Below are 22,905 nucleotides of genomic sequence, written 5' to 3'. Positions count from 1 at the left end.
GCCTGGACAACAGAGCAAGGCCTTGTCTCCAAAAAAAAAAAAAGTGAATGTGCATTGAATCATGCCCCCTTGGCCCACATGGACTATCTGTGATATCCGTTCCACCTGAGTGCTGTGCAGCTTGGGACACGGCCCACCTCTCTGTGCGACTCCACATGGTTTTCTCGCTGTCTCAGCCATGCCTGGCTCTCCTTGGCCTCCCTCTACCTGCCTGAGCCTCACTCCTCTCTCTCCTCCATGGTCCCTTCTCTGACTATTGAGGTCTGCCTTTGGTCCTCCTACTTGTCTAAAATGGGGAGCATTAATTTAGGGCCTCTGGGGATTGAAGGCTGGACATGAGAGGTCTGTCATTCCTTTGAACCCTATGTAAAAACTTGTGTGTGTGTATGTGTAGGGGGGTTGGAGGATGGGAAGAGATGAAGAAAGAAATGACAATGTGACGGTACACAGGGTTGGTGTGTGTGTGTGTGGTGGGGGCTGGTGGTGAAAGGACAGACCACGTGTAGACGGGGGGTTGGGCCAGTGGCACCTACTGGCCCAGTGCCACCTGCACCCAGGGCTGGGGCATGGCCATGTGCCATGCGCGTTCTCCCTGTGGTCCCCACAACACCTCTGGGGAGCTGCTTGGAATTGAGCCCAGGGCATCCCACAGGCTTCTCAGAAATAACCTGCTAAAAACTGATCCCCCCCTTTGCAGCCACGCCCTCCATCACCCAGTCAAACTCCACCTCCAGCTTAGTGCGGTCACTGCCTCACTCAGGTGCCCAAAGCAGAAACTACACTGTCTTTTTTGAGTTCTCATCTTGCACCCACTCGTGATCACGGTGGACCTAAGTGCTGCTGAGTCCACGAGAAATGTCCCTGAATGGAGCCATTCCTTGCCATGCTCCCACCCCTTCCTTAGGTCAGAGCCAGATCATCTCTCACTCAGCGGTTGAATCAGCCTGTGTCTTAACCCCCTCAGCTCAGTCTCTCCCCGACACTCTGCCAGAGAAAATGCATCATCAACCCCTCTGGTCAGGCAGCCCAAGTGCTACTCTTGGTTCCTGTGGCCTGCTGCAGTAGACCCAGGCTCCTTTGCATGAGTTACCAGGTGATCTGCTGCCCAATCTCAAGCCCCTCCTCCCCTCTCCCTCCTGCCAGCCACCCACACTCACCACCCTGGACTTATCCCCCAGGCCTCCTCACGGGTGCATCCTTTCTACAGATGTCCCTCTGCCTGGACTTCTTCCTGTCCACTTTCGACCTTCAGGACTCAATTCAGCCGCCTCCCCAAGAATGCTCCCTGGCGCCCCCAGAGCACTCTGTCCTCCCTCAGTTCGGCCTGGTCCTGTCACACTGGGCTGATGTTTTTCACGTCATTGCTCCTCAAAATGGGAACTCCTACTCTTTAGGTGTCACCTTAATCTGTCTTTGTGACTCCAGCACCTAGATCTGAGCCTGAACCACAGAAAATGTTTGTTGAATGGAAAAATTAATGAATATAGTGATATCATGCCATTGCTTTCTTGAAAATACCAAAAAAGCAATGAAAAAACTACATATGTAAAATCATATGAAATTTAACTTCAGCACGATATTCGAAAAAACCATATCAAAAGGAAACCTAGTTATTTACCTAGAAGAACTCTGCTTTGAAATTGTATCAGTGAAAATGATTTTATAAAATGATTAGGCTGAAGGGAATCTGGCCAATTCATAATCTTGCTCCTTTAAAATTTTAATAATAATAAAAACAGGTTTGTTTCCAAAGCACTTTCACTGACATTAACACATTTCAGCCTTAAAAAAAACCCAAAGAGGCAACAGCATTTCCAAATCCAGCCTTTTTCCTTTTTGGGAGACTCACGGATAGTCAAAAGAGTGGACTGAGCTGTTTTCTTTGTTTTTTCTTGCTTATGTTAAAATTCTACCCTTTTAGATCTATCAGATGACTTTACAAAGCTGTGTTTTGGGTCTTGCCGAGCCAGGCCGCCCCCTCTGCATTTTAGGGCACTCACATAATTGGCATGTAGCACAGTGAAGAACTCGGGGTTGGTGATGAACTTGACCGCTGGGGACTGCAGCAGCAAGGTGATTTTTTGTGAGTTCACTGGAGAAAGTGACCCTTCTCTCCTTAGATCTGAAAAAAAGTGAAGCAAAGCAACAGAATGCATTGGGAAAAAGGCATTTCAACCTCTGTACTTCGCTCCTGACAGTGGCAGCACACAAGCCTTCACCCACACAGCAGACTGTTGGATTTAGGCCAAGTGTCATTACTTTATGTATGTCAGTTAAGAATCATCATTTCCTTAGTAGTGTTTCGCATAACTTCAGTAAGGCTCAAGTCCTCCAACATCTCTTCCCTTTTATCACAATGATTTTCTTTCTTTTCTTTTCCCTCCCTCCCTTCCTTCCTTCTTTCCTTCCTTCCTTCTTTCTCTCTCTCTTTCCCTTTCTTTCTTTTTCTTTCTTTCATCTTTCTTTCCTTCTTTCTCTTTCTTCTCTCTCCTTCCTTCCTTCCTTCCCTCCCTCCCTCCTTCCCCCTTCCTTCCTTCCTTCCTTCCCTCTGTCCCTCCCTCCTCCCCCCTTCCTTCCTTCCTTCCCTCCCTCCCTTCTTTCTTCTTTCTTTCTCTTTCTTTTCTTCCTTTCTTCCTTTCTTCTTTCTTTCTTCTCTCTCTCTCTTTGTCTTTCTTGAGACAGCGTCTCGCTCTGTCATCCAGGCTGGAGTGCAGCCGCGCAATTGCAGCTCACCGCAGCCTTTAATTCCTGGGGTCAAGCCATCCTCCCAGATACTCAGCCTGCTGAGTAGCTGCGACTACAGGCATGCAGCACCATGCCTGGCTATTTTTTTCTTATTTCCTTCACAAGTTGCTAACCACAGCTGTGATAGATTGTTTGCAGAAAGGACCACAATTCCTCTCCTCCTTGTATCCACACCCAGTTGTATTGGGACTTCGCTGCTCTTCCCCTTGCTGAATTGGGGCTGGCCTTGTGCCTTGTTTCAACCAATAGAACATGTCAGAAGTGACAACGGGTCAGTTCTGCATCAGGGTTTCAAGAGACCTGTGTGTCTCCACTCTCTGGTAACCCTGCCACTGCCATGAGAATGAGCTTGGGCAAGCCTGCTGCAAGATGAGAGGCCACCAGGCCACAGGAGCAGGAACAAGCCACCCTAGTGGCAGCCATCTCAGGTCAGCCTGTGGCCGACTCCGCAGCTGACCCACGATGGACAGGTGAGCCCAGCAGCATCCTGAGGAACCACCCAGCTGAGCTCAGCTCAAATTGCCAACCTGTAGAACTGTGGGGTAGATGCATGGCTGTGAGTTTCAGCCACTAATTGTGGGATTTTTTTCTATACAGTAAATGCCAACTTATTTAATATCAAACTCAGAAATAAACTTTCTGCTGCTTTTTCCTCATGTTTCTAGTTACTTGGCTATTGTACCATGTCTCTCTCAGAAGTTTGAACAAAGAAATTAATAACAGGCCAGGTGTGATGTCTCGTGCCTGTAATCCTAGCACTTCGGGAGGCTGAGGCGGGAGGATCACTTGAGGCCAGGAATTTGAGACCAGCCTGGGCAACATAGCAAGACTCTGTCTCTACAAAAAATGAAAAAATTAGCCAGGCATGGTGGTGCATGCCTGAGGTCCCAGCTACTCAGGAGGCTGTGTTGGGAGGACTGTTTGAGCCCAGGAGTTTGAGGCTGCAGTGAGCTATGATCGCACCATGCACTCCAGCCTGGGTGAAAAAGAGAGACTCTGTCTTCAATAATAATAATAATAACAGAAAAACCTAAACTAGTCAGTTTAGTTAGCATACCTGGTAAAATGAATAGAAAGGGGGAAATTAAAATTGGTGGTGGAACTGTGGATGTGCATTTTGAAAAATCACATGAAAATGTCCAATATTCTGCATTGCTGTAGACAGCTAAGACCTGGCAGGATTGGAATCCCAGTGCTGCCTGCCCAGACTGTTCTCTAAGCCTTCTTTTGGCAAATAAATCTGCCATCATTTACCCAACTTAAAAAGAAAGTGGATTATTAGGATGTCACTGTGATAATCTTATCTCATTACAGGTTAAAAAAAAAAAAGTGGAAGCCAGTCTCATGCCTTTTGATTATCCTTGTCTGAGTCCCACTTGGGCAAATTCAAAGAAATGAAAACCATGAAAACCAGACCAAGGTGAATGCCTACTGTAGTGGGAAAAAATTCCCTCCTGTGGCATGCTGGAAAACCTCTTCACTCCCAGGTTCCTCTCTTGGGGGAACTGAATTTTATTCTACAAACAAGTGATTATTCCTAGTGTTGTCACATGGCTCCTTTGCAATATACTGTGAATTTTTATTGCATGTTTTATTTATAAGTGAAAAAATCCTTAGAACACCAACAAATACAATAAATTTACTTAACAATAACTTATAAATAAATAAAACATTTACTTAACAATAAATGATTGAGCCACTGACAAAGTTGCCTTGCTCCACAAGCACTGTAGCAAACTCAGCTCCATCCCCAGAATTCATCTGCTTTCCTGTCTCCAGATCCCCATGCCAGGGTGGTGGTGTTTCCTTCACTGTGATCACTTCTCCTAAGTTTCCTGGTGGGAAGCTCATTCTGTCTGCTTTCCCTTGCGGGCACCAGGCATGCCTCTGTCCTCCACCCTGGACTTCCACTCTCTTCACCCTGGGGCACATTGCTCCCCATGAGGCAGGGTGGGAGGCTTGTAGCCCTCTGTCACACAGCCCCTGAAAGCCATCACAGGTTGTGGGGACCCCTCCTCCAATACCTAAGCTGGACTGGGAAGATTCGGCTTCTGAGTCACTCCCTCCACCTCCGCCTCCTCCTGCTGGGGCTTGCTCGCAGCTTTGGCTGCCAGAATCTTCTTCGGACCTCTCTGTTGCAATGGTTCGCTGAATGTTTTGATACCTTTGCATTAGAAAATGGAAAGACAGGAGTTAACTTTGGTTTGCTCCTTGGGGGCCAAAACTCTGAATCAGATAATTGGAGAAATCTGTAAAGAATTGTCTTGAATGTCAGGAAAGAAATGCTTAAAATTCCCACAAGATAGCCAGAACAATTAGCAAGACAAGTATCTCTAAGACGATTCAAGTTCTTTTTGTTTTGCAAGCTATGATGAGTTTCAAGTATGGCGACTTTTAAAAAATCAACACAAATAATAACTAATCATGCAAAACAGCCTGTGCCCTGCATTAAACAAAATCAGGCTAAGTCTAAAATAAGAGTGTGGGAAGTAAATTAAAATGCTACAACTAAGATATCAAATTACCTCAACATTATTGTAATAAGTGTACAAACTGGGCTAGCAGTTCTACTCAGTTTTATTTGTCGGGTAATTGATATAATTGGGCAGAGGTCATGGAAATATTACATCTGATAGCATGCTGGCAAATAAATAAATGTTTTCTGCTTATTCAAAGGCTCATTTTGTTTTTCTTCCCAAGTTGGGGATTTAGTCATTTGGCCTGCCAGCTGGCCACCTTGCCAAGTACTAAATATTTCCTAACCCTTCCAATGTGTGCAGGCTCTGTGCTGGACTTTCAGATGGAAGAGAGGATTAGAATATGACATTGCCCTTTAAACACACACAGTCGAGATGTAACAAAAGGGAAATGGGACAGAAGCCATAACTCCAGCCAGGTGAAAGGCTGTCACAGACAGGCAAGAGGTATGTGGGACACAGATGAGGAGACTCCCAAGGTTTGTAAATTGTGAAGCTGGAGTATGAATTTGTTGGGGAGCTTGTTGGGAAAGGGCATTTCAGAAAAGAAACAACATGTACAAAAGCAGGCCACCCTTGGGGAGCTCTGAGATGCCTGGCAGCGGCATCAGGATGTGTGGGCACCTGGCAGGGCCAGGAGACCAGTGGAGAGGGAAGAGGGAGCCCCAGAGGGCGCCCTGCAGTAGGATGGGTGTTATTCTCTAGGCCACAGGTTCCCCAACCTGAGCTACGCAGAATCACCCGCAGGACTTAAAACACAGACTGCCAGCCCCACCCCCTGAGTCTCCGATTCAGTAGGTTTGGTGTAGGGCCCAAGAATGTGCATTTCTTTTTTCTTTTCTCTTTTTTTTTTCCAGAATGTGCATTTCTGATGAGTTCCCAGGTGATCCTGATGCTGCTGGCCCAGGGATCAATCTTGAGAATGAACCATTGCTCTTGGTGATGGGTGGCTGCTAAAAAAAAACCAGGCAGGGCCAGATGTACATGGAGATTGATCATCCAGTGTCGGAGTGGAGAATGCACTGGAGGAGAGGAGCTGGGAGCTGTGGAGAGCAGCTGGGGGCTCCTGCAACAGCCTAGGCTGGAGACTTTCCTGGAGACTTTTTGTCTCCAGGAAAGCAATGAAGGGGTGGAGGGAGGGGGTGAAGAGGAGGAGGAGGATGAGAGACAAGGTAGCAGGGAATAGCCTGTCTCCAAGTGCAGTCCCAGGTGGGAAAGCACGGGGATGCTCGCTGCACAGATGAGGCTCCACTATGGCAGGATTTCTGCAGACCAGTGCCCCGCTCTTTCCTTGACCTTACAGAGGAAAGCTTTTTTTACTGTAGTCTCCAGCCATTTGCAAGAGCATCATCTGAGTGATTGTTAAAGTTACAGAAATTGAAGCAAAAGAAAAATCTGCATTTCTAACGAGTTCTTTAGGAAGTATTATTTATATCTAGGTTTGAGAACTATTGGTCTAAGGGCTTTCTTTCAGTTTTATTTTATCTGGAGAGACTCCCACTCACTCTGACACCTTTCAGAAGCCACCTTTGCCTGTAGTGGTTACTGCAAGGCATTTCCTGAGCCGGCCTCTTAGAACAAAATGTGGAAGGGGGCAATGAGCTGAGTGGTGGTGGAATTACAGAGAGAATCATTTGTTGTAATTCACCACCCCGTACATCTGTGGTGGGAGGTTATGAAGAGTGATGGATGGTGAAGGATGGCACTCTGTGATCTTCTCTCTGCTGAGGACTCAGGGAATGTAGCCATGGCAGGAAAGCAGGGGTTGCCAGCAAGAAGCTGCCCAAGTGTGTGACCTTGACCAAGGCAGGGAACGGGGCCTGCCAAAGACTAAGGCAGCTGCTACTGGGAGGATTCCCTAAATGCTTTATGGCAGACTGCATTTCTCAAAATGGTTCAACGATATTTTTAGACCCACATGCTCTTCCAGAACTGTATCTCTCCTTTTAAAAGGTAGAATCCATGTCCCCTTCAACTACCTTGACTAATAGAGTTTGTAACAGTTCGTGATGGAACTTAGCAGCCATGCTCTGAGGTGGCCCAGGCCTCGTGGAAAGTCTCTGTGCAGGTGTCCTGGCTGAGAGGCCCAGCCCACAGCCAGCATCAACCTCCTAATATGTGAGTCTCCAGCCCCGGCCACCCTCTGACTGCAACTAGGAGATATTCTGGGAGAGAACTGCCTAGCTGGGCTCAATCAAACCAGAACCATGAGAAATAACGGTAAGAAGAAATGTTTGTGGTTGTTTTATGCCACTACGTTTGGTGTAGTTTTACTCAGCAACAGATGCCTGGAATAGGGCTTAGACAAATGTCAAGTTGTAGCCTCTCCTTTCCTTCCCAATATGCAGTAAACACAGCAGAGCATTATGAGTAAATATGATCTTATTTGATGAGGATAATGTCAGCAGTGTCACAACCTACTTCACATGTCCTCAGCTGGACCTTGGTTATTGCAGGCCTTACTGAGTCAACAGCCTCAAATCCTGCATTTGACCCTACGTCTGACCTCTGCCGAAGCACAGAGGCAGTTTGGGGAAGCAGGTCATGCAGTGACTTGAGGAGGGTCTCTCAGTCTTTCAGGGCAGGACTGCAGCCTCAGAGGCTCCCGAGCTTTAAACAGGAGAGGGAGGCAGCTCTCTTCTATTTCATTAGGAATTATCCATCAATATCCTCCTCCATTTTTTTGTAGCAAAAGGTTAAATATTTATAATAGATAGAGGGCTAATGAAAATTAGCTAGAAAGTCAGCTGAAATACATAATTTGTAAATGGACACACACACACACACGCACACACGCACACACACGCACGCGCGCACACACACGTACAAAGCCAAACAAGAAGGAAAAAAGCCCTCCAAAACCAAGCCAAACCAATCAGCCAACTACACAACCTCCCCCCTTTAAAAAAGCCCAAGAACAGACAATTCACATGGGAGAAACTACTCCTTATTAAAGAAAAGCTTATGGAAAACAAGTTGACCCTTGCTCCAACAAGTGAAATGTAAGTGGCATCAAAATACGAGGAGCACCTCTTACATCAACAAAAACAAATCAAAAGATAAGATGGAAGTGAAGCTGTAGCTGTTGGTAGAATAAACCCCTAGAACCGCAATGTCTAATGTAGAAAGCAGTTAGGCATTGATACCAAATGCCAAATCCACATTTATCTCCCTTGGCCTAATCTTTTGGGAATAGAACCCTAAGGAAACCCTCCACTATAAGGCAATCTTAGTATTTAGCAGGCCCTTGTGACAAAAAACAGTGACAAAAGCAATAAGCAAAACATTCAACAATATGAAATCAGGTTAACTAAACTTCAGCCATTCAGTGGAATACTATACAAGCAATTACATGTTAACCTGAAGACTATGCGGCAATATTAAATGCTTACAGTGTAGTAAGTGAAAAAAGAATATGAAACTAACTACATATCACCATCATAACCATGTAAGAATTGTGCATGCATATGGAAATTGAAGATGGATACATGTTTTTAAAAAGCTAAATTGGCTGGGCACAGTGGCTCATGTCTGTAATTCCAGCACTTTGGGAGGCCAAGACGGGGGGATGACCTGAAGCCAGGGGTTCGAGACAAGCCTGGCCAACATGGTGAGACCTTCTCTCTACTAAAAATGCAAAAATTAGCTGAGTGCAGTGGTGCATGCCTGTAGTCCCAGCTACTCGGGAGGCTGAGGTAGGAGAATCGCTTGAACCCGGGAGGCGGAGGTTGCAGTGAGCTGAGATAATGCCACTGCACTCCAGCCTGGGCGACAGAGTGAGACTCCATCTCAAAAAAAAAAAACTAAATCATCCTTGGGGTAGAGTGTAGATCACTTTTTTCTATTTAAAACTTCTATTTCCCTTAAATTATCATAATTTTATACAAATAATTAAAAAATAAAACTTCAGTTGATTATTTAAAATAAGAATACATATTTATATTTTCTGCTTTTCAGTAAATATTTGTGAAAGTAGAATTAATTAATTCTGGATATTCTGAAAGCATGGGAATTAACTCAGAAAATGATCTTGTACTGAGTAGTATTAAACTTCTGGTACCACACTAGGTGCTGGGAGCAGAAAAGGGTAGAAAGAAGAGTAAGGCAAAAAGGTAAGAACAGGCACAGAGGCAGGCACATTCCAGAAGCTATAGGGGAGGAAGTCACTGGCTCTGTGTGAGGGATTCTGGGACGGCTTCCTGGGGCACGACATTGAGTCAGGTCTGTAGGATGAGATATGTTTCAGGTGGGAGGCAGGTGGGAGGCATTTTCCTGCCATGGGAGCATGTGGCCAAGCCATAAAGGCCTGGAAGAGTGTGCCGCGTCTGGGGAATGGCTGAGTTGGAACATGGTCACTGCGACCTACCACACAAGCTTACACATTGATTGCTATTGTGTACTCTGTACTTCCTAGTTTTATGTCTCCTTGCACAAACACATTTGATTTTCACAATCATCTGGTTCAGCTCAAGGGAAACTCCTTGCAACACTGAATAATACTTCCACATGGCTGTGAGCCAGTAATCATTGTAAATTTCTCTGGATAACTGTGGGTTATCAAAAAAACGACTTTCTGTGTGGTCGCATGTGAGATGGATAGAAGACTGGAAATGTACTTTCTTGGGCTGCCTGTTATAATGCCAAATACAAAAAATTTTAAATGCTTCAAAGCAATAGGTTAAGTATGGAAAAATCTGGATACTTATCTGAAGGTTATCTGATCTTCCCTAGGTATGCTTTTTCACAAGAAATAAGTACCTTCTCAAAGTGCTAAATTCCTTTTCTTTTTATCTGTCCAGATGGATGTAGCAAATGCAACTTCCTATTCAGCAAGGTCCAGCTGCCTCTCCCAGCATGTTCATCTCCACTGGAGGGCACAGGAGTTTGTATATCAAAGGCTATAAAACTTATTTGGAGACCTGGTTCAGGATGGATTTGGCCTAATTTTTATATTATGCAAGCAGATCACCCCGATAAACTTTCATGGGTTTATGCCATAGGTCAAGGTGCTTCCTTCTGCTTCAGATTCATTGTCTTGCTTTGGTTAGTGTTCAAAACAGTACCTCTTATGAATACAGCCTGACGATACCCTCCCCTGTTTCTCTGCTAAACAATTGGAGCTTATCATTTTTGGCAAGACAGACCTAGGGGCTAACTTCTGCCTATGGAATCAACAGGGTCTCTATGTAAGATGAGCTTACTGTGTCTTCTACATTTTTAGTTACACGAATCTTGTTGCAATCACCATGAAAGGACTCTCCCATGGATTTTTGGTCCATTCATGTCTAGTAAAACTGGGTTATCAGGACTTCCTCTCTGTAACACGCTTTGTTGGGGTGAGAATGATTGTAAAGTGTGCTGCCAATGCAAGTCTTTTATGGTTTTTGTTAATGACTTAAAACACTCGGCTGCTGATGGGGAAAAGTGGAAAGCAAATGTCTTCCAAACGCTCAGGCAATGAAAAAATGTTCTGGTGATTTTCACCTAAAGCATGCTCCTCTGTGTACAACAGTAAACAGAAGTTCATTTTTATTTTTTTGTTTCCATGTTTTTTGTTTGTTTTTTTTTTTTTGAGATGGAGTCTTACTCTGTCTCCCAGGCTGGAGTGCAGTGGTGTGATGTCAGCTCACTGCAACCTCTGCCTCCCGGGTTCAAGCGATTCTCCTGCCTCAGCCTCCTGAGTAGCTGAGATTACAGGTGCCTGCCACCACGCTTGGCTAATTTTTTTGCATTCTTAGTAGAGACAGAGTTTTACCATGTTGGCCAGGCTGGTCTCGAACTCCTGACTTCAAATGATCCACCCGCCTCAGCCTCCCAAAGTGCTGGGATTACAGGCGTGAGCCACTGCACCCGGCCCCATGTGTTTTTAATAGGACTAAATTGTTTCTCCTCCTTTTCTTTCTGGCAGATAACAGTTAAGTCTCAAAGGCATTTGCTATCAGTAGGTGTGTTCCACAAACCCAGTTCTTCATTCTTTTTCGTCTTTCTCAACTTTTCCTTCACCTTCATACTTTTCATACTTGACATGAAAGCAAGACAGCATGTGGGTGCAATTTCAACTGAAGGAAGCCTCAGTTTGCATTCCTGGTAATTAAAAGTATCCTGAAGCTGCCACTCCAGTCTTAAAGAGCAAGATGTCAGAGACAATGCTTTATACTAGCTTACTGCATCATCTCTGACATGAATGGACCACTGTTTAAGCCTGATACTGTTTAAGGCTTTGTTTGCAGGTTAAAAACAAAATGACATCTTTACAATTTCAATAGAGAGGGCCTAGTTTTTCAACAAAATAATTCTCAAAAAATGCTTGTAAACATTTCTTTTTCTAAGATGCAGGCTTTTCAAGAATTATTATTGATGGGCATATATCAATTATGGAATCAGGGTAGGAATGCATACAGTGATTTATGAGACAGTTTATTCTCCAAGCAGCTTTTAGTTTTCTTATGGAACCTATCCTTGGAATGTGTTTAACTGAGGTCTCTATCCTTTTGAGAACTGTATGATGGGTGTGGACCAGTCTGCCAGAAAAATGTGTATCTATGTATAATTTGGGTACAGTGCCTGGAAAGTTCAAGGAACACTGACATCCTTGGTGAACATCGCAGGAGAGGGGCATACACTGGCCCTTGGTTAAAAACTCCTATTTTTGTGCCTAGGCTATTAAGAAGTTTAGACGATTTCCCATCCTTAAATGACACTCAAGCTTAACTTGTCTCTCGCCTCCAAATTCTAAATCTAGCTTTCCAAATACCTACTAGGAACAGGTTTCTTAAGATACTTAATTACTTTCCAGTCTCCTCATACAGTCTGAGCAGAAAAGTGTAAGGGGAGCGTCTCTAGCTGCCATTCTCCTTTCACTGTGGTTTAGGGGAGCTCATTGCATACTGATCACCAACCGCCTGTTGAGTTGCTCCATCTGCTGGATGGACCCCGATCTCCGCATGCCATCCGGGGTGGCTGCTGCCGTCGGACGCTGCCAGGTGGTTGTGCGGTTCACGTGGTCCACATAAAAGACCCGCCCGTGGCTGTCAATTCGAGCTTCCCAGTCTAGTGTTTAATAAAAAGGCAAAAAGAAAAATCAAGGACAAACTACTGACCCACGTGAAACACATACAACTTCCAAGTCTTCTGCAGGTAGAACTCACCATTGGTTCATGGCTGCAGGCCAGACCCTGCCCACAGCACCTGCCACCACGACTTCTGGGGCACTGGCATGAACTCGGGAGCTCAGAAAACAATTTAATGAACTTAGACTCTCTGCTGGGCCATATTAAACAGTAATTGTGGTTCCTTGATCAACACCTATGTTAAAATTCTAATACTTTCTTTTTTTTTTTCTTTTTGAGACAGAGTCTTGCTCTGTCACCCAGGCTGGAGTGCAGTGGTGCGATCTTGGCTCACTGCAACCTCCACCTCCTGGGTTCGAGCAATTCTCCTGACTCAGCCTTCCAAGTAGCTGGGATTACAGGTGCCTGCCACCAGGTCCGGCTAATTTTGGTATTTTTTAGTAGAGACAGGGTTTCACCATGTTGGCCATGGTTGGCAGGCTGGTCTCAAACTCCTGACCTCAGGTGATCTTCCCACCTCAGCCTTCCAAAGTGCTGAGATTACAGGCACGGGTCATCACACCCGTGATGGTGTGATGGTGTGACGAATACAAAAATTCTAATAATTTATAAAGAGAAAATCTACTGTTTAATGAATTTATTTCTTTAGAAATGTCCATCACCACTGTCACTCTTGTTGGCTACTCAAACGACAGCTGTGGAAGATTGGGGTATCCTCCAGTGCGAGCTGACACTGTGATGCTGGAGAATGCTTTCTTTGCTAAGTCTAACAGAGGGCGATTAGGTTCAGTGGAGAGAAGAATGGCCCTCAGATTAAAGCCAGTTTTAACTACTGTTCTAAAATCTTGGATGTGCGAATTTAGATGACCTCTGTCTTATACTTAGTAAACTTAATAGATTGCCTTTCCTTTTGAGTGGGTGAATGGAAGGAAATGATTGTTAGGGTTTCAAAACAGCGTTTTGATAAGTTGTTAATTAACAGTGTATATTCAACACGCAGCTGTCAAATATCTCTGGCCACCAAACGAAACCAGTAACTAGGAAGTACCCTTTTGTTGATAAATAACCATCACAAACTGTAGAGGGAGCCCGAGATAAAGAAAAGTTCCCTTGCTTCCCAAATTAAAAACAAAAGAAAACAAAAAAAAAGAAAACAAAAAGGTGGAAGCATGGATGATTCACTACATAATACAGGCAGGGGCTGAGCTGGGGTGAGGTGGGTGGAAAAGAGCTGGAAGCAATGTGTTCACGTCTGAGCGAAACATAGAAGAGCAATGCCTGCTGTACAGAGATGGGCAAAGCTTTTAGAGTCCACATATCACATTGTGGAAACAGCAGCAGTGTGATAAAGTTATGCTGAAAATGCACAAGACTAAAGAAGAAGAAGGAAAAGCAAAAGTGACTGCAAAAGGAGGAAAACCATCCAGCCTTTTCAGTGAGAAAAGCCATAGCTTTCGGGAGTAGGTCAGATACTAACAGTTTCATTGAAAACTTATCATTCAGGTAATGACATAGCAACTCTCATTTTTTTAAGGGAAAAAATATATTTGGCATATTTATGGTTTTATATGTACATAGTATATCTGTTTGTGGCATGATGGCTTATGCTTGACCTGATGGATTGTCAAATAATGCCCAGTAAAAACCAAAGTATCCCCAAACACCAAACTTAACTTATGAGACAAATTGAAGGAAAAATGTAGGCAGATTGTATAAATATGTCCTAGGAGATTTTGATTAAAATAGATCTAATGATTATCTAATGATAATCCAGCTGTCAAGTGTTAAGTGTAAATGGTAATTAGCTCATGGATGAAATTGTATATACATATGATTACTAGGTAATTAATCTTGATCTAGAAACTTAAAAATTTTAATGGATCCCAAACTAATATTAGTAAAAGCAGTAGGACAACTATTTTTCTTGAATCCAACATGACTGTCATCCAACAAAAAATGAGCATTAGTCTTTGAAGAGCATTGTGGAATTTAATTTGACTGAACAAACTGTGTAGCACTCACTCTGAACTAGAGACTGTGCCAGGTCCTGAGGACACAGAGATGAGTGACACATGACCCTGCCCTCCAGGAACCTACAGTAAAGAAAGGGGTCCTTCGCAGACAAAGGTTGGCTTTTATAAATTAAGGGAAAAAGCTAGAAAATGAAGCTGCAATAATGATAATTTATCATCACATGTTTCAATTCCTCATGGAAAAGTGTAGTAAGCCAAACAGCTGGGCTCTTTTGTCAATACATTAAATACCTGGAATGTATTGTGCTAATTATATACTCATATGTATTCAGAAAATAATAGCTAAGTGTAATCAGAAATTATGAACATGTTTTCTGGGTTGCTTTGTAAAGAATTTACTTTCACATATTTTATAACCAAAGGAAATAAATTTGAAATGGAACTTCAGGCATCAGCATGACTTGAAGGGCTCAGCACTGTGATGCCATGGGTTTGTCTAAAGAGCCACCTGAAAACAGTACCTTCACGATTCTGGGGCAAGTTATAGCAGTGCAGGTCAGGTCAATTCATTTGTGACCAAAGGATCTATTGCACACTAAATTATATGTTCTCCACAAAGTCCAAGAACAATATAGAACCTGATAATGTATCATATTTAGTTATTATATTAACAAAAACCTATACAACTGTGTATTTTGAACAATTTTAACAAATGTAATACTATTGCATAGTCTAGACCTTTCTCTTGAACTTCAGAGTCACACATTCAATTTCCTTCTTGACATTACTACCTGGATGACATCTCAAACACAGGATGATCGAAACCAAGTGTTGGATCCTTCCCATCAAAACCTGCTCTGCCTGCAGTCTTTCCTACCCAACTCAGTTGAAGACAACTCCATCTTTGTAGGTTGAAACTCTTAGGTCATTTTTGATACCTATCTTTCTCTCACATCCATATCCAATCTGTCATCAAATCTACCTTTAAAATATATGTCCAGAATCAGACCACTCCTCACCACCTCCACTGCTCCCACCCTGGCCCAAGCTACTATTGTTTGTCACCTGGGTTCCTGCATAAAGACATAATCTTATGTTGAATCTCATGCTTCTATCCTTCCTCTTCCCAATTTATTCCCTACACAGCAACTTGGGCAAACTTTTCAAAACCTGAGGCAGACAATGTCACTTCTCTGCTGAAAACTCTACAATGTCCTCCTTTCGTTCAGAGTAAAAGCCCTTAAGTGATTTACAAAGCCCTTAAATGGTTTACAAGGCCCTGCATGATCTGGGCCTTGCTAGTTCGCTAACCACATCACCTGCTGCCTTCTCCCTTCCTCAGTTTGCTCCAGATGCACTGGTCTCCTGTTCCTTAAACCCAGCAGGGTGTTTCCAACTCCCGACTGGCAGTGGCCATTCCCTGTGCCTGCAAAGCTCTTCCTGCCCAACACTTGCAGGGATAACTCTCCTAACCCTCAGGTGTTGTCTTCTCAATGAAGCCTATTCTCACCACTTGTTTTAAAACTGCAAACCAGCCACCCCCACACGAACTCAGAGATCCCTCACCCTGGTCTATTTTTGCTTTTCCATAGCATCTCCTATGCTAGGCCAGTCCCTGTTTAATTATTTTATTGTTTGCTAATCTGTCTTCCAGACTAGACTGTAAGCTCCATGAGGGCAGGAATCTTTGTTTTGCTTACCCACAATAGTACCTAGCACAGGGCAAACATTCAATAAATATTTGTTGAATGAATGAATATCAGCAATAAGGTAATTCTTGTACTATTTGAGATTATTTAACAATATTCAGTTGGTAGGATTCATTACCAATTTTTCTAAGGTCTTTCACTGTTATATGGATAGAAAACTGAAAGCTGTCTGGAGAAATTTGTTCTCATTATTGAAAGTGGCTTATATAAAGCAATTATTTTACAACGGATTTATGTACAATCATTTATAATATTTGCATGTATAACTAGTCATCTGTACTGCACAGATTCGAAGTAGATTCATGCATTGAAAGGTTATTTGTTGTGGGGAAAGCATCCCTTTCCTGGAGATAACATGTTATACATATTTTTCAAATAAATGTTACCTAGGAAGTATTTGTAGTGATGCTAAAATGTTACTCTTCATTTATAGAATGTCCATAAATCAGTGTATAAAGAAAGAAAGAAATCAGGCATCAAAAGTTCAAGGACATGATGTTTGGCTTTGCCCTTGAAAAACAAATATTGTGTTTCTTTAAATTAGTCCACATATAAAAGATGTTCTTTGATTTCTCACCAATAAATTACAGTTGAATAGGGAGAGGAGTGGTGTTCCTGTAAAGTACAGCACATTACCAAGAACAGATGAACTAAGAAATAAGCACTTCTCCTTTTGAAAACTGTAACTGCTTCATGTAAGCACAGGCAAAAGAATGTAAAGAAACACTGGGTCCTTGCATTCTGGAAAGATTTCGTAGTTGTAAAATCTATCAAATCTTAAATACTATCTTTGCTTGAAAAATAAGCAAAACCAAAACAGAGATGTTCTAGAATTCATGAACATATGTGATGCCAAGTGAATATATAATGTCTGGGGTATCAATTTCTTCCTATAAATTTATTAAATGGAGTATTATGAAGTTAAAGCTAGAATGGTATCTAGAGACTATCTAGGTCAAATCTTTCATTGAGCAGATGGAGACATTTAAACTTTATTTTTTAAATTTTACAAATGAGAAAACTAAGTCCCTGAGAGATTAAATGAATTTCCCAAGTTCAGATGACTAGTTAGATAATTATTAATTACCCACTACAGTTACCAGGAGAAACTGACATTGAATTCTATCTTAAAGATGATATTTTGCCTGGCAACCCCTAAGAACTGCAGAAGAAATTTGAAGCTATTCCCTATGGATGGAAGTTATAGTAAGGAAAGTACAAGTTCATGTGCCCAGATGGGTTGAAGTTGTTTTAACATATGGAGATGCTTGTGACGTAACAGATCCAATGGAGAACAATAGGATTATTCTATCTTGAACTGCAAATTTTAAATATAAAATGTAAAATTTGGGACTTAAAGGTCATGAACAGTTTGCAAAGACTAGTCAAGTCTAACAGAGAAATGCTCTCCATTTCAGAAGTTGAGAGGCACTGAAAACACTGTGTTATCTCTTCAAGATCACATGGTGAAACTATTAGTCAAAAAAACAAACTAAAAACCCCCAAAAAACCACCAGTTTTTAGAGCAGGTGTCATATTGGTCTTTGTTAACACTGTAAGGCACGGAGTCGGGAAAGACTTTAGATGTTTACACACAAATTCATACTGACCTGCTTAGACTTGATAGGAAGAGTTAAGACACAGATTTTAAAAACTAAAGCTTACTTGGTGGAAGAGGCTCATCGATTGTTGGGTAGTGATGATGTTCAGGCCTCAGGGAAGGAAGCTGGCTTACTGGCTGGGAATTATGGAGTATAGGACATTCACCTACGGACAAGATAGTCAATACATTCAGATTCATTCACTGCCGTGGCAACATCATCAAAAAAGCATGACTGTAAAACTAAGCACTACAAGAAACAACCCCAAAGAGTGGGAAATCCATTTGTGTGTGTGTGTCAGTTTGCTACATTCACAGTCATTCGTGAGGGGGGAAATATTTTTTTAAAAAAGAAGAAAATCAAAACACTTCATAACTAATGATCTGCGCCACACAGTCCAATATGTAGGATTTGAGTCTGATTCTGTAATGACCCGAATTTCCTGAATCAGAAAGTGGCACCAGAAAGGAACACAAGAGAAAATTAGCAGAGCCTGATTTTAGCCCAGTGGAGGAAATAGGCCTGTTTGAGGGAAATGCAGCGTTTTATAAGGTTCCACAAAAGTTCCTTGGGCTTATGCAAAATGACACCTCCTCACTTGGATAGGTTTCATCACAGGGCTGCCGAAAGGCTGTTTTTCAGATTTTTGAGGGGAATGAACTCTTAGATGGTACCAAGACAGGTCAAGGAGCTGGCGAGCCAAGAAAGTAAATTCCTGTAGTAGGAAAGCTGGAGGTTGGGGGGTTGGGGAGGGGAGCCAAGGGGCTGAGGGATCTCAGGACTGTCCAGATTATTTTGAGGAGAAATCAGACAAGCCAGGGTGCTCCGGAAAGAGGAAAGGACAAGAGACAAAGGAAGTAGATAAAAAGCAGAAAGACGGCGACAGGAAAGCTCAAAACACAGAAATGGGAAAGAAGGAGGAAGAAAGACAAACATGGAGAAAGTTTAGAAATAAACATTATATCCACAGGATGCATGCCTCAGATTATTAAAAGAAAACCTACAACAGACATAGCTTATACTGTTCTCAGTTCGGACTTATAATGAACTGAACGATGTTCTGAAGTGGTGTCCTCAGGCATGTAGAGCAGCCATGCAGAAGGCAGGCCTGCAGCACCAGCTGCTTGGGTCACATAATCAGAGGCCAGTGCTCTTGATCTTTGCAGAGTGAGAAGGGCCCGGGACAAAGGATGGCCCTTTTTTCAGATGGTTCCTCCTGCCTCACACCATGCTGGTTTTCTTGCAAAAGCCTTTAAGGGCCAGAGGGCAAAGGTCAGGCCTTTTCCTTCTTCTGTCCTCTGCTGATGCAAATAGCAAGTGTTCCATTATCCCTTGGGTCAAAAAGGAGAGAGACTGAAAAATGGTGGTCAAATGGTTGTAGGATCTCAAATGCTGAATATTTCCTAGAATATCCACACATGGAAAGGATGGTTATTTCTTCTCACTCTAGTTCTACGGAACTGATCAAAAATAAAAATAAATTAATTAGGAAGAAAGGTGGGTTTAATTTTGTGATTTAATTCCTAGAGCTCACTGGCAAACAGAAGGAGAGATATATTCAGGAACAAAGGGTCCTTTTAAATGTTAAATATAGAACATTATTTGTTGAGCAAATTCTGCTATGTTACTCAAATCCTCTGGGTCCTTGGAGATGCTAATGGAAAACAAGGAAGGTTCCCCTCATGCCGGCACCCAGTTCATTGTGGACAGACTGCTGTTCCAAAGATGGGCTCTGTGTTTAAGTGGATACCACACTCATGTTTGTTTGTATACATGTTTAGTGTCAGAAATTAAACAAAACCATGGTATAGTTGTTATGTCATCAGCTGCTGCATTTTTAACTTAGTTTCTTTAAAATCAACAATAGACTTACCTCTTGAAATTAATGCAACCAATCAGGTTAATTACTCCTCCAAGCTAGTGGAAATACAACATTGTTGACTGCCTGGGGTTAATGCAGCTGATCCCACCTGCTTGTGAACCCCAAGCAAATGCAATGATGTGACCAACATGTCTCAGCCGACTGAATGGATGGAGGCACTGAAGAAGCAAGCAGTTCTATTCTGCACAAGGACAGGGTTCCACATCATCACCCTTGCCTCAAACACAAAGCAAGTGTTGAAACCCGCCAGAACCTCCCAGAAAGAGATCTATTCCTCAGCTAAAAGCAAGCAACGTCGTTTTAAATTCCCTTCTATTTATAAATAATATAACCTAATTGTAGAGAAAGATAGGTTGCCTTGCATATTATTTGAAGCAAAGTGATTTATACCTAATAATGTGAAAATTTCCCTTGAATTATAAAGTACAGGAAATGCAAATTCAAAGGATTGTTTTAGATGCTTTATACAACATAATATAAACAGTTACCCTCACTGCTTGTCTGCCTGGAAGAACCCTCACTTGGTGGGAAGCAGAGTGCTTTTGTAGTATCATCTCATTAAATTTTCCCAACAACACTTTGAGGGAGATTCTGTAATTATACCCATTTTGCACATGAGGAAACTGAGGCACAGAACAGCTAGGTAACTTGGTGAGGAAGTGGGAGGAGTGAATATAAATCCAGGAGGCCTGACTCCAGGGCCTGAGCTCATAACAATGACATTATGTTACTCTTTTCATTTATCTGCAGAAGGTCTTTCAAGAACTATTTTAAATTAAACTTTTAAAAAGGAGGTATTTATAGAGGGAAATAAAGCAAAAAGTATGAAAAGAATACTAGCCTGTATAGTTGTCAGTTCAGACTTAGAACAGTGTTCCTCTATAAATTGTTGCAGCCTTATCTATGTGGGCACGTGGACAACAAATCCACCTGGGTTAATCTAATGCAGTTTTTTTTTCTCTCTCTCTTTTTTTTTGAGACAGAGTTCTGCTCTTGTTGCCCAGTTGGGAGTGCAATGGCACGATCTCAGCTCACTGCAACCTCTGCCTCCTGGGTTCAAGTGATTCTCCTGCCTCAGCCTCCCAAGTAGCTGAGATTACAGGTGCCCGCCACCGTGCCCAGCTAATATTTTGTATTTTTTTTTTTTTAGTAGAGACAGGGTTTCACCCTGTTGGCCAGGCTGGTCTTGAACTCCTGACCTCAGGCAATCCACCCACCTCGGCCTCCCAAAGTGCTGGGATTACAGGCGTGAGCCCACACACCCAGCCGTCTAATGCAGTTTCTACAGTAAAGGAATTTGCAATCTTAGAAGTCAAGGCGAAGGAGCAATAGGGATTTTTATGGAAGCAGAGGTCACCCACACAATCACGTATCAGGCAGGTCATGTTAAAGCCCTGCTTTCTTGAAGCATCTGCTGTTGTGAAGCCTGGTGGCAAGTGAAGGACAGTCCCACAATGCAGACACGGTTAGCCTGGGGACTCACTGCTGAGGCGGGGAAGGATGGCTGGGAAGAAGTCACATGCCAGCGTGTGCATGGCCTTCAGCAGATCAAGAGACCCCTCGGGAATCTTTTTATTTCCCCTTGTGATCGCCATAGTGAAGCATGTAGGTGCTTCTTAACCTTTTCTGAGTTTACACTCTGCAGAGTTCAGGAACTTAGATATTTCTTTAGAAACTGCCAGTGCCAATTCAGAGATGTCCACTGTGACCCTGAAACACTTCCTGCTCTTCCACCTGCTAGACTGTTGGCCTCTAAAGGGCAAGGATGTGACTTTTTTGTTTGTAAAACATGATCTTATATAAATTTACATTGAGCCAAGTTTCAATTGACCATGTGTAGATTATCTCCCAACATGGGGGCCAAAAAACTGTGCACTAAAACAGGGTTGTATGGCTCTGAGCTAAGAAAAGTGTCAGTACACTTTTTAATACAAAAAAAAAAAGCTTTTTAGTGAGAACAGTTATTTAGCTTTTTACCTCTTGACCCACAAAGCCTAAAGTATTTACTATCTGGCTCTTCACAGGAAAAATCTACAGACCTCTGTAACCCAACATCCCTGCCAGCTCCTATGTGTGCCTTTTATGTGGGAATCCCCCAATCTCCTTTTGTTGTATTATTTTAATTATGCTGTAATTATCGAGTAATGTCCATACATCACCTGATGCCACTCCATCTTCCTGCGCCCAGTGCATTACATCTGGCCTAGAATAAAGGAAGTCCTCGAAACATCCTTGTGAAAGAAAGGCATTTCCCATTCCCTTCTACTCACAGGAGGGATTTTCCATCCCGCTCCTTGTGGGTACCTTTCCATGCTGTCTGTTTTACCTTTCTGCCTGTGTTTCTTTTTCTCTACCAATTTCCTTGCGTTTCTCATTATTGCATGTGCCACCTTCTCTCACTCTTTTTCTGAAATGTAGAAGCGGGCATTATTGAATACTTAAAATTATTTTTTTTAATGCTCACTTTAGCTCCTGTTAAAAAAAAAATTTGTAGGCACCAGGGGTTTGTTTAGGTGCTAAGAATTCAAACATAAAGAAACACAACTCTGGCCCTTGATGAGCTTACAATCTAGAGAAAATATCCCCGCCTTTTGTTGGAGGCTAATTTCAACAGCAGAACAGCAAAATAGCAGAGGCTATGTTTTTCTCTTTTAAAACAACTGAATTATTTCATATTATTATGTGACTTTTCAATTTTTTTTCCCAGTCATACCACTGTCACTTGACTGGAAGACAGTTTCCACTCCTGGATAAGGAAATGCAAATTAATTTCACATATAATTCCACAGGCATGACTAAGAAAGAACATCTTTGGTTAAAACACAGAATACGTTTTAAAACTAATGGTGGCAGCTTTTGGATTTGATTCTTATTGGAAACAAAGTCATTTATACACAATCATGTTATTTTTCCCTTCCATTAGCCAAAATAGCCAACAACAACAACAACAACAACAAAACAAAACCAACAGTAATAACAAGAATTGAGTGGACATAAATAATGACAAATATATGTAGGCTAGACATATCTATATGTACGTACATGGGCTAGTTGAATTCTAAAACAGAGGTAAAATCTGTTCTTCAACTAATATTAACATCTATTGCTAATCTTCCATGTGCTTTGAAAGTCAGCAGATATTTACACATTATCCATTTAATGTAGATAGATTTTTCCCATGTATATCATTTGATACTAGTCTTGGGGCTCTGGCTGCTGTTAAGACTAGGATAACATGTACACTAACCAGTTCTGGTGATTAGTTAAAACAAACATAGAAGCACACATACAAGTGCACGCTCACATCCAACCAGTCGTAATTCCTGGTGTGTATCTGAGACATTGTGGGGTGTCAGCTACTCACAGTCATCTATGCTCATACACAGATACACATGCACACATGTATATACAAGACAGGCATACATTGCCCCAGCAACCCCGTTTGACA

At 42.4% G+C, this 22,905-nt stretch overlaps 1 protein-coding gene across 19 annotated transcripts in view, besides 1 other annotated feature; it reads right to left on the bottom strand.

The window, feature by feature from the left end:
- The window catches only part of HECW1 (HECT, C2 and WW domain containing E3 ubiquitin protein ligase 1), a 453,355-nt gene that overhangs the window by 97,433 nt on the left and 333,017 nt on the right, over positions 1-22,905 (bottom strand). For 15 of the 19 annotated variants that reach the window (NM_015052.5, XM_017011883.3, XM_006715670.4 and 12 more), the window contains 4 exons: positions 17,640-17,741; positions 12,122-12,272; positions 4,770-4,909; positions 2,001-2,122 (listed from right to left, as the gene is read on the bottom strand). In NM_015052.5, coding sequence (NP_055867.3) covers positions 2,001-2,122; positions 4,770-4,909; positions 12,122-12,272; positions 17,640-17,741 — 515 coding nt within the window. The remainder of the gene's footprint in view (positions 1-2,000; positions 2,123-4,769; positions 4,910-12,121; positions 12,273-17,639; positions 17,742-22,905) is intronic. The other 4 variants (NM_001287059.2, XM_006715673.4, XM_017011887.2 and 1 more) reach the window with 1 other exon arrangement.
- Positions 568-1,068: an enhancer, noted in NCBI's record as "H3K4me1 hESC enhancer chr7:43507100-43507600 (GRCh37/hg19 assembly coordinates)". NCBI's record gives its function as "activates a minimal SCP1, AML or CMV promoter by ChIP-STARR-seq in naive H9 embryonic stem cells {active_cell/tissue: H9 hESC(naive)}" and the evidence as "EXISTENCE:reporter gene assay evidence [ECO:0000049][PMID:30033119]".

The sequence above is a fragment of the Homo sapiens genome, chromosome 7 (assembly GCF_000001405.40).
Source record: "Homo sapiens chromosome 7, GRCh38.p14 Primary Assembly".
Taxonomy (NCBI): Eukaryota; Metazoa; Chordata; class Mammalia; order Primates; family Hominidae; genus Homo; species Homo sapiens.
The sequence above is the reverse complement of the archived record's forward strand: the minus strand, read 5'-3'. Positions and strand labels throughout refer to the sequence as shown.